At 32.2% G+C, this 19,898-nt stretch overlaps 1 protein-coding gene across 1 annotated transcript in view; it reads left to right on the top strand.

Annotated features, from left to right (window-relative positions):
* SLC25A40 (solute carrier family 25 member 40) overlaps nucleotides 1–19,898 on the top strand; it is a 42,793-nt gene extending 22,895 nt beyond the window's left edge. The window contains exons 6-12 of the mRNA NM_018843.4: nucleotides 3,518–3,585; nucleotides 5,489–5,613; nucleotides 6,344–6,517; nucleotides 9,603–9,712; nucleotides 11,752–11,833; nucleotides 16,656–16,736; nucleotides 17,105–19,898. Of these exons, the coding sequence (NP_061331.2) occupies nucleotides 3,518–3,585; nucleotides 5,489–5,613; nucleotides 6,344–6,517; nucleotides 9,603–9,712; nucleotides 11,752–11,833; nucleotides 16,656–16,736; nucleotides 17,105–17,217 (753 nt within the window). The 3' untranslated portion in view covers nucleotides 17,218–19,898. The remainder of the gene's footprint in view (nucleotides 1–3,517; nucleotides 3,586–5,488; nucleotides 5,614–6,343; nucleotides 6,518–9,602; nucleotides 9,713–11,751; nucleotides 11,834–16,655; nucleotides 16,737–17,104) is intronic.

The raw sequence follows: 19,898 nt of genomic DNA, 5'->3' as shown, positions 1-19,898 counted from the left end.
CAGTTGCTGAGTCATATGGTAGTTACATGTTTATAGTTTAAGCAACTCCTAACCTGTTTTCTACACTGGTTCTACCATTTTACATTTTCATTAGCACTGTGTGACTGATCCAATTTCTCCACATCTTCACTAGTGTTTTGATGTTGTCACTACTTTTATTTTACCAGTTATGATATATGTGTAGAGATATCTCACTGTGGTTTTAATTTGCATTTCCCTAGTGGCTAATGATGTTGAACATCTTTTAATATGCTTATTTCCCTCTTCAGTAAAAAGGCTTTCATGTCTTTTGCCCATTTTCTAATTAAATTGTTTGTAGTTTTACTGTTGAATTTTGATAATTCTTTATATGTTCTAGATACTAGTATTTTGTTGAATGTGTGGTTTGCAAATATTTTTTTCCACTTCTAGTTTGTCTTTTCATCCTCTTAAACATGGTCTTTCACAGGGTAAAACTTTTTAATTTTTACAAAATTCAATTTATTAATATCTTTTATAGGTCATGCTTTTGGTATCAAGGCTAAGAGCTTTTTATCTACTGTTACACTCTGAAGACTTTTTCATAAAAATTTTATTTAAGTCCTTGATCCATTTTGAGTTAGTTTTATGTAGGGCATGAGACTGTGGTTGAGGTTTGTTTGTTGTTGCTGCCTATGGGTGTCCACTTGCATTTGTGGAAATGGCTGTAATTTCCTCCATTGAGTTGCTTTTTGCACCTTTGTTAAAAATCAGTGGGGCATATTGGGTCTGTCTATTTCTGAGTTTTCTATTCTGTTCCATTTATCTCTGTGTCTGTCACTCTGTCAATACCACAGTCCTAATTATTGCACCTGTAAGTCTTGAAATTAGGTACACTGATTCCTCTCACTTTATTTTTATATTTCTTTTTCTTTTTTTGAGACAAGGCCTCGCTCTGTCACCTAGGCTGGAGTGCAGTGGAGCAATCATGACTCACTGCTTCCTCAATCTGTACGCCTCAAGAGATTCTCCCACCTCCGTCTCCCAAATAGCTGGGACTATAGGCATGTGCCACTGTGATTTATTTTTTGTAGAGACAGGGTCTCACTATGTTGCCCAGGCTAGTCTCACACTCCTGGGCTCAAGCAGTCCTCCTGCCGTGGCCTCCCAAAGTGCTGAGATACCGGCGTGAGACACAGCATCTGGTCCTTATTTATTTATTTTTTTTTCAAAGTTGTTTTCGCTATTCCCAAAGTTCCTTTGTCTTTCCACATAAATCTTAGCATAATCCTGTTTATATTTACAAAAAAATATTGCCAGGGTATTTATTGGAATGGCATTCAACTTGTATGTTAATTTGGAGGGTAATAACATCTTTAATGTGTTGAGTCTTTCAATCCATTTTCAACCTGCTTATGACATTATAATTGAAGTGAATTTCTTTTAGACAGCATAAAATTGAGTCATGTTTTAATTTCACTCTGTCAGTTTTTACCTTTTAATTAGTATACTTAGTTTAACTATTATAATGCAATTAGAGAGTAGGACTTAAGCCTATCTTTTTAAAAAAATTTTCTCTTTGTTGTGTTTTCTATTTCTGTTTTGCCTTTCCTGCCTTCCTTTGTAAGTTACTGGAACATTTTTTAGCATTCCATTAAACTCTTTAATCTCACTTAAAACATTCTATTTTAGCTGTCTTTTTCTGTCATTGCTTCCATGGGGAAGAAAGGATGTCATCTTGTTACTGCCGGGTAGCGTTAGAAGTCCAGGTTCCCCACCCAGCCTCTATTGACACACAGTGTGAGGGAAGACCTCTTTTGCTCTTGAGCATGTGTGGGAATTCTGGCTTTCTATATGGTTTCCACTGACGGTGTAGTGGGGTAGTCTCATTGCTGGGTGATCGTGAAAGTAGTGACTCTCCACTATTCCTCCTGTGACACCACCCTAGCAGAGGGACAAAGGAGCCTTATTGCTGACCTGGTAGGGGTAAAAATCTTGGTTCCTTATTGACCTTCTGTCAGCCTTACATTGGTGGAAGTCTAGGCTACCTACTTGGCCTTTGCTGATATGGGTCTGGGTGGTGCCACAAGTTTCACTTTGGTGTTTGGCTAGAGCAGAGTGGTTATTGTCTAAAAGTTTTCTGTCTTACTAGGGTTCCCGTAGCTGGGAAAATATGCAGTCCTTTGTGACTAATGTCTTTTACTTAGCATAGTGTTTTAAGAGTCATCCATGTTGTAGTATGTATCAGTATTTTATTTCTTTTATTGCCAAGTAATATTATGTGAATATATTACATTTAATTTATTCATTCATCATTTGATAGACATTTGGGTTGTTTCTACTTTTTGGAATAATTAATTCTATGGACATTCATGTTTCTGTGTGAACATGTGTTTTAATTTCTCTTGGATATAACCTTATGTGAATATGTGTTTTAATTTCCCTCAGAATGTAACTGGAGTTGAAATTACTGAGTCATGTGATAACTATGTTTAACCTTCTGAGAAACTGCTAGGCTATTTTCTAAAGTAGCTACACCATTCTGTATTCTCACCAGTAGTATCTAAGGGTTCCAATTTCTTCACATTTTCACCAGAATTTATTATTGTCTGTCTCTATAATTTTAGCTTATTTAGTAGGTATGAAGTCACATCTCATTTGTAGTTTTGCTTTGCATTTTCATAATAATCAATGATGAACATTTTTCCTTTTTCTATTTTTCTTTTCTTTTTTTTTTTTGAGACAGGGTCTCACTCTGTTGCCCAGGCCTGGAGTGCAGTGGTGTGATCTCAGCTCAGTGCAGCCTCTCCCTGCTGGGCTGAAGCAGTCCTCCCACCTCAGACTCCCAAGTAGCTGGGACCACAGGAGTGCGTCACCATGCCCAGCAAATTTTTTAGCTTTTTGTAGAGATAAGTTCTAACTATATTGCCCAGGCTGATGTCGAACTCCTGGGCTCAAGGGGTCTCCTGCCTTCCAAAGTGCTGGGATTACAGGCCTGAGCCACTGCATGCAGCCAAACAGTTTTTCGTGTGCTTATTGGCCATTTGTATGTATTCTTTGGAGAAATATATATTCAAATCCTTAGCCAATTTTTAATTACTTTATCTTTTTGTTATCAAATTGTAAGAGTCTGTCTGTTAATAGAAGACTTCTCTTCAGCTCTGCCTACTTTTGGTTCCTCTCCAAAGATTTCACATAGCACATTTTAATATTTTCTCTAATTTCATACTTAAGCAAGTTTAACCAGTTCTCTGCTTTTGCTCTACTTCCTTTCTTATAATAATCTTTTCTAAAGCTTTTTTTCTAAGCTCTTAGTAGAACAATCTAGAGCTGAGTAATATAGACTTCATTCTGTAAGAAGTTAGTATCATCCAGAAATGCTTCATTTTAATTGTGTTAAAATTCCCTTTTTAAAAAGAATGGACATACATAAATCCAAAAAGCTTATTTTTTTAGATATAAATACCTGAAAGAATGAAATTACCAATCATCAGTATAAATTTTTGTATAAAAGGTTTAAAGATATATTTTGATTACTTTTTTTCTATTATAACTTTAGGATGCATTTTTTAAAATCATTCGAAATGAGGGCATTAAATCTCTATGGAGTGGCCTTCCTCCTACCCTGTAAGTTGAAATTTAATGTTTTTTCTACTAAATAATGATTGTTATTTTATCCTATAATCAGCATGGTTGGACAAAGTCTTGCATTTTTAATATTAGAATGCTTTCATTTTCTGAGGTATTGTTTTTTAAGCCTCACAGCCACCCACATGTTTGATGATGTACTAGAAGGACTTGCAGGACCTGAAGAGGTTACATTCACAGATACGGTTTATTACAGCAAAAGGATAGAAAACAGAATCGGTAAGGGAAAAAGGCACATCAGGAGTTGTCCAGAAATAGGCTTCCAAAGTCCTCCCTTATGGCATTGCACAGGATGTGCTTATCCTTCTATCAGTGAGCTGTGAAGTATACAAAGTGCTTCTGCCTTGGGAAACCCATTTGAGTTTTGAGTGTAGGGCTTTTATTGAGCATGGGTTATATGGATACATTCTGTCTTTTAGGCCAGTTGTGATGAGCAAAACTTCAAACCCACAGAAGGAAAGAAGTGTACTATAAATCGCAGTGTACAGATCAACCTGGACAAGTTGGTTTAGTGCTTCAGACATACAAAAAACCTTCTAATGGGGAATACTCCTGGGGATATATTCTCACGAGTTGTCCAGAGGTCAGGCATGCACATAGGCCCTCCTGAAGTTATATAAGGTTTGAGCAACCAAGCCTGCTGTGTTGTCTTTGCTACACAAGCATATGGTAATTTTTTTCATGTTCAGAAATAAAGACTTTGGTGTTTATTTGTTCATTTTACTAAAGCTGTATGATATATTGCAAAATGTATACTTTCCTTTCTCCAGGTAATTCTAATTGTCTACTGCCTGGCGATTACATGAATTAATATGATAAACTGTTAATATTGAATGTAAAAATGTAAAATAATAACTTGGCTTTTGCTGTCTCATTTATTCCCAAGAACTTTATACTTTTAATGGAGGAAATTAGTCAATTTGAGGCATTTATTTTAAACAATGTTTAAGGTTTAAAGTTAGTGGCAGATCCGATACCCCACCAGTCAGTCCTGCTCCTAAATTCTCAGCAGCAAAGTCCACCATATAACATTAGGCATTCCAATTTATAGTCTGTGAATGTCCTTTAGTTACATCATAAACATGGACTAGTTTCTTGTTGCACTAATATTTATTGACATGGCAGTACCTGCAACTTTGTGTTTGAATTTAATAATTCCCTTTTAATAATTTCTTTTAAAATAGTATGTCATTAGAATTCCCTTAAAATTAGTGTATGTAATTCTGATGATGTTAATTATAATTTATGTCTAGTTATAAGCAGGAGTGATATATGGTCCACAGTACAAAAATGTTTTACAATTTCTCACGTACTTTTTATTTCGCTGATTCTGATGTTATGGTAATTATGAATGAGAAAGAAGATCTGGGAGACCAGAAACAGAGATGGAGATGAAGTGTCTGTCTTAATTTGTCTTTTCCTATTTGTTTTATTTTTATTTTATTTATTTATTTATTTAGAGACAGTCTTGCTCTGTCCCTAAATAGGCTGGAGTGCAGTGGCACGATCTCGGCTCATTGCAACCTCTGCCTGCCAGGTTCAAGTGATTCTTGTTCCTCAGCTACCTGAGTAGCTGGGATTACAGGCATGTGCCACCATGCTAGCGCTTACTTAATGCTATTTATTGTAACTGTCTTTACAACTGGAATGAAAACTTTTGGATGGCAAATGCCTACTTTATATCTTTTTACTGCCTACTAAGTTAAGTACTAATCATTTTTAAACTAAAAGAAAAATTGATCTCATAGGCTGATTTATTGTAGTTTTTAGCTTACACAAAATATAAGACTTTTTTAGCTTATATAATAATATTTGAATTTAAGTTAAGACTATGTGGGATCTTTTGATAATTTTGAACAAATCTTTTTGTGTGATCTAACAGAGTGATGGCAGTTCCTGCCACAGTTATTTATTTTACCTGCTATGATCAATTAAGTGCTCTTCTGAGATCTAAGTTAGGAGAAAATGAAACCTGCATACCAATTGTTGCTGGAATTGTAGCCAGATGTGAGTAATAAATCTTTATTTTCATTTTGATTTCTGTTTAGAGCTTCTGTTTAAGTTGTGACATTCACAGATAATTTGTATAATATATAGAGTATTAGTATGATATATTTTGCATTATAGTTTATATTAATTTGTTAATATAGTATAGGTACTCCAGAAGTCATATGGAATGGTGATTACCATCAGAATGAGATGGGCTCAGCCTATTTTGGTCAAATCATGGACAGAGTTTTTAGAGTGACATCAGAGTTGGTTCTGATTTACCTGAACTTCTGAGGTGTCATCTGGGATCATGCGTGATTCAGGCCAAAGTCCTGAATCACTTTCCTTATAAACTTTGGGATTCAGAGTTTTATCATAAGGAACGTTGACTCTATACAGAAGAACGTTTACTCTGCTAAATGGGAGTGGGATTTATTGGGGCAGTAACTGGAATGGGCTTTGGTTTTCATAGTTCTGGTTGATTATAACATTTCTGGAACTGCCCTTGAGAGAGTTGAAACCAGAAAAAGTAAAGTATATGAAAATAGATTTTTAAGAAATACTTTGTCAAGGGAAAAATCTGTGGCAATTATGTTGACATCATGACACATTTAATTTTAAGGTTTTCAGACATTATAGACTAAAAGTTTAAAATATAAAATCTGTGAATATTAATTTTTACAGTATATGTGTTTGCATAGTACATGGCTTTATTTTTGTTTTCTTTTTTTTAACTTGTTTGTATTAGTTGGTGCAGTAACTGTGATAAGTCCACTAGAATTGATTAGAACCAAGATGCAGTCCAAGAAGTTTTCTTACGTGGAACTGCATCGATTTGTCAGCAAGAAAGTATCTGAAGATGGTTGGATTTCCCTTTGGAGGGGCTGGGCTCCTACTGTTCTTAGAGATGTACCTTTCTCAGGTAGGATTTATCTTATTTGTAGCTACTAAATTTTACATGGCTTTGTCTCATTCAAATATTACTGTCACTAGATTTTTAACTCTTTACCATTAAAGGTAAGTTATTTTCTATAGTGACCACAAACTCCTTTTTCATTGTTGGGCTCTCAGATCTTTCCAAGCTTTTATTGAATGAATAGTTTTTATTCAAGCTTGTTTTTTTTTCCTTGTGATTAATTTGCTTTTCTACATTAATTAGTGGGTATTCATATTCAGAGAATGCAAACTACCTTTAACATTCTAAATAAGTCATTTAATATTATTCTAAGCAATTAGTAAGATAAGTAAAACTACTGCAAATCAAAGGATAGAATCCATTTAAGACCACTTTGGAATTATATGGGCTCCTACTTTTTCAGTTATTAAAAATAAACATCTCCCCATTAAATGATTATCCTGTAAAAGACTATTACAAATCAAGTAGGGAATTGTACTGATTACTCAGTTATGAAAAGGGAGAAAATTATGAAAAGTGAGAAGTGTAAATCTACCAGTAACTTACAGAATGTGCCTACTTTAGTGGCATTTCCCTTGTGGATCATAGAAGTTTTTAAGACCCAAAAGAAATACTTATCTAGAGAGAAACTCTCAATAAGAATATAAATATCTTTTAAAAATCATGAAACCACAAATACGTTCTTTCACTGTCACAACCCCAGTGGTAACCACTATATTGAATGCCATTCATTTGATTAAAAGAATTAATTTTCCCACATATGTATTATTGCCAAACATTATATTGTTTAGTTTAACCTATTTTTGAAAATCCCCTTTTACTAAAAAATTTTCCTAAGAGTCATTCTTGTGTTATATGTAACTGTTTTCTTCATTTTTACTTGTTTATATGTGAGTAAACAAGTAAGACAGTGCTGCTATGAAAATTTTTAATCAGTTTCTTGGTGTACCTTTGAAAGTTTATCCAGTATTGGATTTGTTGATTCATAGATATACATACATTTCAAATTTTACTAGGTAATATAGAACTCTTTTCCAAAGTGATTGTATGATCTACATACCTACCAGCAATGTAAGAGATTTTCTGCTGCTTCACACCCTTTCCAACTTTTTTATTGTCAAAGGTCTTAATTTTTGTTTAATAATTTAAAGTGGTATCTCATTTTAATTTGCATTTCCCTGGTTATTAATAAGATTGGGCACTGTTTCATTGGCATTCATTTATTCATAATTGATTTGGGGTTTTGGACTGAAATAGGTTTTCAATTTCATTTTTCTCCCACATGGATAGCTGGTTGTCCCAACATCACCTATTGCAGTGATCTCCAACCTTTTGGGCACCAGGGACTGGTTTTGTGGAAGACAATTTTTCCATGATTGGAAAAATTGTGCCTGTGTGTGTGTGTGCATGAGCGCGTGTGTGATTGGTTTCAGAACGAAACTATTCCACCTCAGATCACCAGGCATTAAATTTTCATAAGGACCACGCAACCCAGATCCCTCACATGCGCAGTTAACAATAGAGTTCTATGAGAATATATTGCTACTGCTGATCTGACAGGAGGTGGAGCTCAGGCGGTAATGCTCACTCACCCGCCGCTCACCTCCTGCTGTGTAGCCCAGTTCCTAATGGGACACAGACCAGTACCAATCCTCAGCCCTGGGGTCGTGGACCCCTGATCTATTGAATAACCATAATTGCTTCAGGGATCTGCAGTGTCGTCTCTGTCATATAACATTTTCATGTATGCATGGATCTGTTTCGCTGGTTAATGTTTCTGACTTCAGGCCAGTACCAAACTGAATTATTAGTGCTCTATGAAAAATCTTTTGTTTTTTGGTCAGGGTCTCACTCTGTTGCCCAGGCTGGAGTGCAGTGGCACAGTCACGGCTTACTGTAGCCTTGATCTATCTACAGGGCTCTAGTAATCCTCCCACATCAACCTCCTGAGTAGCTGGGACCAAAGCCGTGTGCCACCATGCTTGGCTAAGAAAAATCTTGATGTCACCTTATTTTTCTTCCCTAGGAATGTCATCTCTTTATGTTAATAATAAATCTTTAAGAAGTTGTTTTAGGAGAGATTCAAGTTTTTCTTCATCAAGGTTGTATTCATCTCTTTTTTTTTGACATTTAGTTATAGGTATACCCCCACTGCCCCCCAGCTTTTAGTAGCTATTTTTAAAGCTCTATTTTAATTTTTTAAAATTAAATCTTTGTAGCTTGTGCAGTTGCAATTGATTTTTTTCTATTAGCTTGTATCCAGCTATGTTTTAACATTCTGTTATAAATTCTGCTTTGTCTTACTATTTTTTTGGTTTGGATATATATAAAAATATATGTAAATTGAACTGTTTTATATCATCATTTGTAATCATAACTTTTCTTTCTTACTTGCTGCCCAGTGAATTTTTGAATTATAGTGACAATAATGAACATCCCCATCATTTTTCCCATTTTAAAGAAAATAGATCTCATTTAACCATTAATAATTATTTTTTGGTATAGGTTTTTGATGCATGTTCTTTATCAAATTAAAGAAGTTTCCTTTTACTTCTAGGTTTCCAAGAAATTTGTTTCTTTTAAATGAAGGAGTGTTGCGTTTTATCAGATGCTTTTTCATTATCATTACATGATCCCATGGTTTTGTTAACATGGTAATATGACATTTAAAGATTTGTATTATATACCTTTGCATTTCTGGGGTAACCCAACTTAATCATAGTACATGATGTTTTATGAAATATTTCTGACTTCAGTTTGTTTTTTATTATTATTTTTAGGAAGTCTGTACCTATGATCATCAATAGATTGGCCTTTACTTTTTTCCTTTGTCCCGTTGTCCTTGTCAGGTTTTGGAATTATAGTCCTACTTTATTGATGCATAGTTTTTTTTGTTTATAGGACTACTAGAATATTACTGAGAATTTTGCATTAAAAAAAGAAATCCCACCCTAGTGGGTGTCTAAGTAGAAAGCAAGGTATGTCAAGGTTAGAATTTGTCTATCCCCTGAATATATAACCTCATAACTCTTTTATTAAAGTCCACATTTTATTTCTAAATATGTGTTCATTTCATTCTCTGTTTTTATAGCAATGTACTGGTATAACTATGAAATTTTAAAGAAGTGGTTATGTGAGAAATCTGGTTTATATGAGCCAACATTTATGATCAACTTTACTTCAGGGGCATTGTCTGGTTCTGTAAGTTTATTCTTTTGTTGTTAATATTCCAGAAGAATAATTGTTGTATTAAAACAAAACAAAATATAGCATCTCATGTATATTGAGATCCACTTTGGCTGCACTGCTTGAAAATTTGTCTAAGTATTTTCCATCTATTTTAAGGAAACAAATTATTAGCAAATAAAATAATTTAAATATACTGTATTTGTTTTTATGTTACAAAAACATATTTTTCTGAGAAACTTTTGGATTTGTTAGATCATTACAGTTATAATATTTTAGAGCTTTATTATTTAGAGCATTTTGTAATACATTAATTCAATAAATGCTCTGATTAGGTAATATTTCATGCAATGTCATCTCATATGCATTAAGCACTTCTAGCCTCTGCTGCTGATTTCTGTTTCTTTGGAAACATTTTGTCCTACTAAAGTACTTTTTAAAATAATTTGAACAAAAATTACAGTCGGAAGGAAATAATCTTGTTACCATTTTTGGGTAATAGGGAGTTTATCTTTTTCCACACCTTCCTGTAGAATGATATCAAAGTCCTGTAGTAGACTTTCATTATGCAGATTTATATCACCATGACATTGGCAGTTTTTTTTATACCCACATACTTCCAAAAATGAATCTGTAATAACTTGTAGTGAGACAATAACACACTGGAACCACATAAAAACAATAGCGAAGGAGCAGAGTGAAGTGATGCAGACTTGCAGAAAAATATTGTAATAATATCTCAGAAAATCTAGGCCAAGGAAGCCACAGCAGTTGACTTTAAAACTTAGATATAAATATTCCCAGGTCTAAGATCTTTCAAATTAATCCTAGTGGATTATAAGTCTATTGAACAAAAAAACCAATTAGTATTGTTGAATAATGGCTTTAGGATATTTACCAGTTTTGCAGAAATATGAAGGAAAGTCCTCTATTGTACTATTTCTATTTAACCTAGAAAATTTATTTTTTTAAATGATTTTTTAAATGATCTAGAAAATTGCTGCATTTTGACAGCTTTCAAATAAAGGTTTGTGTCTGCAACAGAAAAAACACCTGAATGTAAGTGTCCAGGCTTTCTGTCAGAAAACAGAACAGCCTAAACCACCTCATTTTAGAAAGAGTTTCAAAAATGGCTTACATAACATTGTAGCTACTACATGATAGATAATGAAGATGGAGAAACAGTCCTTGATTTTACCTTACCTGAAATCTTTGAAGCTGATTTCAAGAACGTACATCAACAAATTGTTGGGGTGAAATAAAATATAAGTGATTTTGAGGGACATTTTATGACCATATTGGCCAAATGTGAGTTGGGAAGCAAAAATGCATACCAGTTTTAACCTTGCATGGCTGTTGTATCAAATATTGCAACAACATATCTAAAAGAATTAAATTATTTTAAAAAAACTCCCTTAATTAAGGCATTGTGGAAAAAATGTAAATTATTTTGAGAAAAGTTATTTAAAATGTGATTTGCATCCAGCTTTTATCATTAATAGGAAAAAATGTGATTTGTGAACCATTGTAAGTATATTTTAATATGTAAACATTTACATAACTATTTTAAAAGGCTTATAGAGTTAAAAGTTCAAAATTCATTTTCTTTATTCAAATTTAATTTTTTATTCTATTTTAAAAGCGTTTGCTGGAAATTTTTAAATGCTCACTAGATACTTGAGAATTTCTGCTTTGACATATGTGTTGTATCTTCTTGTGATGTAAAGGAATAATAGAACACAAAGGAGCGTGAGAAATTGTGAATGCTGGTAGTGGAGTCAGAGAGGCTTGGTTGGAATTGTGGCTCTGCAACTAGTAGCTGTGTGACCTCAGGAAAGTAAGGGAATTTTTCTGAGGCTTTTTACTTTTGAGTATAGTGAGAAATACATATCTATTTGCTTTAATGAAAACTTAAAAATATATATATTATTTCATTTTAAAGTTCGGTTATTGTTTTCATTATCCTTAAATAATATACTAATAAGAAGAATGTAAAAATATTTTAGGAAAAATTAACAGGTTGATTGAAATTAATCAATTTTACTTTCTGATAGTTTGCTGCTGTTGCAACTTTACCATTTGATGTAGTAAAAACACAAAAGCAGACACAACTTTGGACATATGAAAGTCATAAAAGTAAGTTTAATTAATTTAAAATATTTTTAAGATGCCATTTTTGTTTTTCCTTACAGATATTGTAGGGATATCTAAAATAAGGAAAACAAGATTTTTTCTTCTGCATTATTCTTTGTGTATTTTACTGAAAGTAATATACTGTTAGAATGGAATACCCAGAAAAACTAAACAAAAACAAAAAATTTAAGAAAATGTAAAGTCTAATGTTTCTTGAATGCCATCAGTTAAGTCTGATACCTGCGATAAAGAAGAAATAATCTTTGTCATTTAAAAGCTAAGTTGTTTTATGATGTTTTTTCCTAAAGTTTGTTTTCAGATCTATTTCAAATTATTATTTTTATTGTCCTTTTAAGTCTTCTTTCAAGTAAACCAATAAAATAAATTTAGACAAATCAGGATAAAGGATAGGAAATTACTGGAAACCTTTTTTCTCTTATTTTTTGATTATATATATGTATATATATATATATATACACACACACACACACACACACACACATTTTGTTTTTAAGCTTTCTTGTAATTTTTTCTACCCATTATCCCATCTATTTTTATTTCTTCATAACCTGTAATTTCTTCTAGAACAAACGTATACTCCTATTTGCTTCTACTAGGATCCCTCTGTCATCATTTATTCCCTTTAGAAAGTGTAGCAAACCAATGGGAAATTATCTATTACAAAATTATGTAAGTCTTGTGATAAGACTATTATAATGTAAATAAAAATTCTTCTACCCATGATTATAATAGTTTGCATAAAAAGTAAAATAGGTATAATGTTAAAAGAAGCTGGTTACAAACCTCTACAAATGAATCTGATGGATGTTGGTGACATCCTTGTCTTTGACCTATCAAATACCTATTCTCCTCTTATATTAGAAGCTAATGAAAACCTGGGAGGTAATCAAAATTTTATTATATTAGGGTTCTCCCACTTCCCTGTTTTAGGCATGAGCCTTCTAGAAACCTAAGCCCTATCTGTCCTTTGACAGTTCAAAATTATTTTGTTTCGTTCTTCTTTTCTTCTCATCAGAATTTCTATTTCCCCTCTTAAGTATAATATTTAACATAGTAGGATTTCACCAATTTCTTTTTGGTGTAATTTAGCATAAATGATTAATGACTGTGGCATTGAGGTAGTGGTGGTCATGGTGGTTGATAAGGGAAAAGATGGGAATCTGTACAGGTAGATTCTAATGCACACTAAAGTTTGGGAGCCACTTACGTTGGTAACTAATCATTGGAGTCACCTGAGGTGCTTATTCAATATACCTACAGCTGGACATCACCCTCAGTAAACTCTCATTTAATGAATCTGAGGTGGAACTCTAGCTTGTATATTTTGAAGATGATCCCTAAGTGATGGTGATATATATCTTCATTGAGACTGGCACCAGGGAGCCATCTTTCTTTATTAGATTTAACTCTTACCTATCACTGGTTTTTTCTAATTAATGTTTCCTCATTTAAACCTAAAAGGAAAAATCTTAAATAAGAATTGGGTTTTAATTTTCCATGATTATCATTGGTAAATTTTAATCTGTTAGCCTACTTCAGCTATGAACCAGTTACTTAAAGGTTTACTAAGATATATTTCAGTTGAAATTGCACTTGTAATTTGAGTGATAATCAGCCCATACTTACTATTTTGGTTTACATTATTTATCCAAGAAGTAACTCAGCTCCATTTAGAAGTGACTTCCTTTGTTCCACAGCTCAGCTATACCAAATCCCTTCTCTCTAAGCAAAAAAGAAAATATGAAGTGTTGCATCTGTCATACTATAGAATGATAGTTCCATGCAAGTATATGATCTGTCAGCCTACTTCGACCACTTCTTCTGTTCTTCATTCATTAGTCAATTACTGAGTACCTATACTGTGTCAGGCACCATGCTGGTATATACAGATAAATGAGACAATTACCCAAATCCTCAAAGAGCTCATAATCTACTGGAAGAGAGGCTGCATTCAGAAGCACGTTAGCATGTAGTAAATGCCATATCCTATAACAGAAATAACTTTTACCTAATTTATGAGTGTGTCATATATTATTAATTTTTAAACATTTAATCTCTGGTTTTAGCTTTTTAAACCTGGCCCAAATTTACTTGTTTTCCAGAGGTTAAACTTCTTTTTCTCTGAACACATTTAATATTTTTGAAACACTATTCTTAACTGGACAATTGAACTATAGAAAAAAAAAAACACTACTCAAGCAATATTTAATTTTTAAACATTTTAAAATTTAAGTATTTAATAGATTTAATAAATAGTACGTTGGTTTTAATATTTAAGGCAATATTTTTCCGTATTTCAATATTTCTATATTATATTTCTATTTTAAAATAGAAATAAAAGTATCACAAAATGGTTATACTTGCCAAACAAACTTATTAAAAATGTTCAATTTTAGTAATACCAAGGAACAGCAGTGAGAGAACATTTTATATAAATTACACTGTTGGGGAGGATGTAGCTCACTGGGAACCTTATGCCATGATGGTAAGAGTATTATTTTGGAACAGCTACTTTGGAAAACAATCTGGCAGTAGCAAGGAGTCCATTCTGAGTTATCAGTTCTACTCCTAGATATGTGCCCTAGGGAAACTTTTGCACATGTACCAGGCTATCCATGGCAAGATTGTTAAAAACAGCAAAAAGTTAGAAATCACCTAAATGTCCCTTTACAGGAAAATGGATAAATCATTATAATCCATATAATGCAATACCATGCAGCAATTAAAATGAATAAAATATAGCTACACTTACCAACCTAGATAATTCTGAAAGCACATTGCAGAAGTAAGTGTGCAGTGTGATATCATTTATATAAAGTTTAAAAGGAGGACAAAGAAGAGTATACATTGTTCTGTACATTCCAGATGTATACAAAGAAGAGTGAGTATACATCTGGATATGTTTAGAGGTAAACATTAAACAAATGCATGAGAAAGATGAAAAAAGAAAGATGAGAATGATTACCTTTGAGAAGGAGGAAAAATAAAATTGGGGAGGAATATATAGAGGGCTTTAACTGGATCTGAAAAATAGAGGTATTATGATATAATAAATTTGGATATTCAGTAAATGAGCATTTATTTTCTCTGTGCTTGAAGTATTTAATAATAAAAGTGTTTCTTTACAATGTAAGAATTTGCTTATTACCTGTAGGAGTAGCTCTTTAATGTTGAAAAGTTAGGCAGGAGACACTTCTGAGGTTCCACTAGAACTTGGCTTACCTTCAGTTGATACTCTTTTTATCATTCTCTTAATTTCACCTTCCTGTTAAAATAGAAACTAGTTTGGGGCATGAGTTCTACAAGATTAGAAACACCTGCTGCTTGATCACCATTCTTTGACCTGTTTTTAAAATTTAAATGAAATAATTTAAACATGAAGTAAAAATTGCCAACTTAGTTCTTGTCATTGACTTTCCTTAGAAAGTTAAATTTCATTCATATTTTGTAATCAGTGTTGAGCTGCTGTAGTTAGTATGTTTATGCTTATGCTATTGCTAGTACAGCTTCTTAAATCATAAGGCTTCATTTATCTTAGTCTTCATTTATTCATAGTCAGAGATTCTGATATTTTATATAAATGAAATTTGGAGATAATCACACTCCATTAAGTGGCAAAATTCTAGAAAGTCATTTTTGAAAGATACCATTTTATCTTTAACTTTTCTCTCCCAGGCTTCTTTAGTGGTACATACTTTAATCTTGTTTAATGATTCAGGGTTGTCTTCTATGTAAACATTGATTTTTGTAGAGTAGCCACTCTAAAAAGCTAGAGAGGGCAGTATAGGATTGTTTGCCCTTCATTCAGCTGGTCTCAAAACAAGACATTGAAATCTTCATCCTGTTAGCTGTCATGTTGTTTACATGGTAGTGTGCCTGGTTCTTAGAATTCTTTTTTTTAATCTTATTGCATCTAGTAGTCTGTGGGCCAAGGCAGCTTTTTAGAATAGTGTGTAAACGAAAATAAACAAATTTTGTTTATAAACATTATATTCATAAGCTTTATGTTTATACTTCAGTGACATCTACTTTTGCTGAGTTTTTAAAAAATTAGGTTTTTATTCATTTTCTTCCAGATATTTGAGTGGTTGCAAATAAGCGAGATGTTATTATTAGCTAAAATAAACCCTTTGAAGGAGACAGCACTGGTCTAATTTATTTCAAGAATAGCGTATCCATTCAGAAAGGTAGTAATAACTCAGGACACTGCTAGGGAGAATGAGCTGTTTTCCTCAGAAACTCCTTTTAGAAAAAAAAAGTTTTAAAACTATTTACAATAAAATGTGAATGAAAAAATGGTTGTGAGGACTTTTCTTTGGCATTGGATACCCCATGAAGGTTTCTATACACTTTTTAAGAGATAGGGGTCTCACTTAAGAGTTCAAGACCAGGCTGGTCTTGAACTCTTAAGCTCAAGAGATCGATCTTCCCACCTCAGCCTCCCAAGTAGCTGTCTTTTAAAAATTTCATTATGAAAAATTTTTAAGACCTAGAAAAAGTTTAAAAAATAACTACCATCAAGTTTAAGAAACAAGCATTATCAAGTCAGGAGAAACCTTCAGTACATTCCTCCTTAATTGCATCCAGTCCTATACATCTTTAAACATACAGCCTTTTTCTGTTTATTATTTTTAATGAATCTAACTATTAAAAATAAAACTTAAAGTAGCTTTTTAGGTAAACAAACCTCTTCTTATGGTAAAGAAATGATATATCCGCAAGGGCCATGGACACTATGTTATCTGTAGTAGGAATTATTAAATTGTTATTTATAATAGCATTATTTCTTTATTTTAACATTTAGTTTCTATGCCTTTGCATATGTCAACCTGGATTATAATGAAGAACATTGTTGCTAAAAATGGATTTTCCGGATTATTTTCAGGTAAAAATACTTGCTTTACCGAATCATTGAATAGAATGATTACTTTTAAAATATTACCTTCTAAAATTAACTTATAGGAGGAAGTTATAGGTAACATACTACATTTATTTTCTCCTAAATATCTTTATTATAAGTTAAAATAAATGTTAAATAAAAGATTTACTATCAATAAGATAAAAATTTCTCTATAATGTAATATGGATTGAAGTGAGGATGTTGGAAGTGAGCAGTCTTTTCTACCAATTTATGGATTTGAACATATTACTTCATTTAATTTGATAATTATCAGAATAAAGCCAAAAAATAATATTTTTAAAAATAAGGTAAGAAAAAAATATTTGTTTTGATTATTCCTATTCTTTTCTCAGGCCTAATTCCTCGCTTAATTAAAATTGCTCCTGCTTGTGCCATTATGATCAGTACATATGAATTTGGAAAGGCTTTTTTCCAGAAACAAAATGTTCGAAGGCAGCAATACTAGTGATGCTGTTTCAACTTGAAACAACAACTATAGCCAAAGAAGATGGAGACTCTTAGGCAAGAATGTTTTTCACCATTATTCTCTCACAATGATTTTATGTCTTTCTTTCCTATAATTTAAATAAATAATTTCAGCTCTACCTCTAAATCATAATTTTAAAATAAATTTTATCTTATTTTTGGTGATATTGAAAAAGATATTCTAGAAATCACCACCATTGAGCATTCTTGTAAAAATAGATTACTCCTTAGCATCAAAAGCAGTCTCTTGAAAGTTTAATATTATATGTTTCAGTGTAACATAATCTTACTGGGAGTGTGTTGAATACACCAGAACTTTTTGAATTGTGTGCTGAATGATGTACATAGTCTAGAAGAAAAAAGCCCAAGTCTTGTGCACATTTAAATCGTGTACATAAGTATTTCCGTATTTCAGTAAAGTAGATAAAGCACTCGTTAAATAGCATTGTTTACATCGACCAAATATTGCCTGTTTCCTTTAATTCAAATGCATTAGGTTCCCGCCTCCCTCTCCTTCCCCGCCATGTTGCTGTTTTAAGGCTTCATATGTATTAACATTTCTCTGATCAAAATTGTGGCTGTTTTCCTTATGAACCATAATATAATCATTTGTGTGATGTACATTGTGCCATTTTTGATGACTAAATGTCTATATTTCTGCCATTCCTGTAAGAGAGGGAGTTTTTTACTGATAGTAGCAAATGTTCACTTCAGTCAAACTTGGGTGTTCAGTGGTAAACCATATAGTATTTAGACTGGTAAAAATAGTTTGCACACAGGAATAGCCTCTGATTTTTAGCTCTCTTGTAATCCAAGTATCATTGTTCATGGAATTCTCTAGGTCATTTTTATTGTGTTGTTCTAACAAGACAGATTATTGCTACAACAATAGTTACAAGATATTTCTAAAATATCCTTTGATTTTTACTCTAAGTATGGTAGAGTAAGAGGCTAAACAAGAAGCTGTTTCCTTGAAGACATTGCTTTCAGTCACCATACATGTCTAAATAATTTAGCTTATCATTCATTCTATGTAGGAATGAGATAAGAAAGGATATGATGGCAGGAAAAGAAATGCTATTCATTTTTTATACTTTAGTTTTATTTTCTTAGGATCTATATCCTATATATATATATTTTTTAAAGCACTAATTTATTGCAGTCTTTATTTTAGAAAAATGTGAAGCATTTTTTTCTCCCCTAAAATGAATATATTTAGATGACAAGTCTTTAGTGCTGGTAGAGGAACTAATTGATTTTGTACTATAGTAGGAAAGTGTTTATATGTTTCACCAGAAATAAAATATGTAGGGTTTGTATGTAATCTTCTGTGTTTATCCTATGTTGATTTACCTTAAATTTGCAACATACATATCCACATAAATATTCATGACTTTCTTATATTTCATTAAAATGTTTTATGGCTTCTTAAAATCATCACTGTGCTTCTAAATATTTTTACGTAAAATCATTGTATAATGCTATACTGTGATATACATGAAAGTTTATCTTGAACAGTGCTCTTTAACAATATTAAATTTAAATTTATCTTGGTTTTGCTATGCTTATGGGTAATTCATAGAAAACAGAAAAAATACTGTTCCCAAAAGGCAGTTATATATTTCAGTTTAATATCACCTATAAGTATGAGAAAGGTTTCCATGTCTCCTACCCCTCACTGCACTTAGGAAAATTCTTATTTATGAATAAAGTAAGATAAGTAAATCTAATTGCCTAGTCGTTTTTTTAACACATATACATGCAATGTATCTGGATGAATAGAAGGCTGAATTGAAGCTTTCTTTATATTTAAGAGGTAAAAAGAAATATTAATACTTTTAAAATATACTAACAACCAAAAAGTGTTCAGAATTTTGCTATAATAATAATTTGTATTAAAATAGTACCTAGAAAAATTCAGTCTATGGAATAGGTAAAATTTTAAAATTTTAATTTGCTCTCAGAGTTCTGTCTGATAAAATAATTGAACTATAATTGGCATGATGAATATTCCCAGGTTTTACTTCAGTATATAAATTTAACTCTCAGCCACATGGGCTTTCCAGACTTTTCAATACATATGATGTTGCAGGAATTGCAATATTTGCAAACATGTGCCACAACAGTGTTCTTGGTGATGTTTCTAAAACAGTTTTTATTCTATTAATGTTAAATTTTCTAACATAAACATTTAATTGATTAATGTAAAATTTTAGGAAGGAACATCTTTAATTTTCAATATGAGATGGTTGCAACCTTTAAAGTAGTACATATTTGATTTTTTTTAAAAGGCAATATTTTTTTTTCTAGGAAAACTATTCATTATGGTTATTTAACTGCATATGTTTTTTAAATTTTTCCCTCTTGGAACAACATGTACTGGGGCCTATCAAAGGGTGGAGGGTGGGAGGAGGGAGAGGAACAGGAAAAATAACTAATGGGTACTAGGCTTAATACCTGGGTGATGAAATAATCTGTATAATAAATCCCCATGACACAAAAGTTTACCTGTGTAACAAACCTGCATATGTACCCCTAAACTTAAATTCTTCCCTCTTTTTGTCTTGGGCACAAGTTTTTGGGATATGGAAAAGTTTATTGTATCCCTTTTGAATTTTCTTCTAAGATGAACTTTTTAAATAAAAGATATTACTGCTTTTA

The sequence above is a fragment of the Homo sapiens genome, chromosome 7 (genome assembly GCF_000001405.40).
Source record: "Homo sapiens chromosome 7, GRCh38.p14 Primary Assembly".
NCBI classification, from domain to species: Eukaryota; Metazoa; Chordata; class Mammalia; order Primates; family Hominidae; genus Homo; species Homo sapiens.
This window is presented reverse-complemented; position numbering and strand designations above follow the sequence as displayed.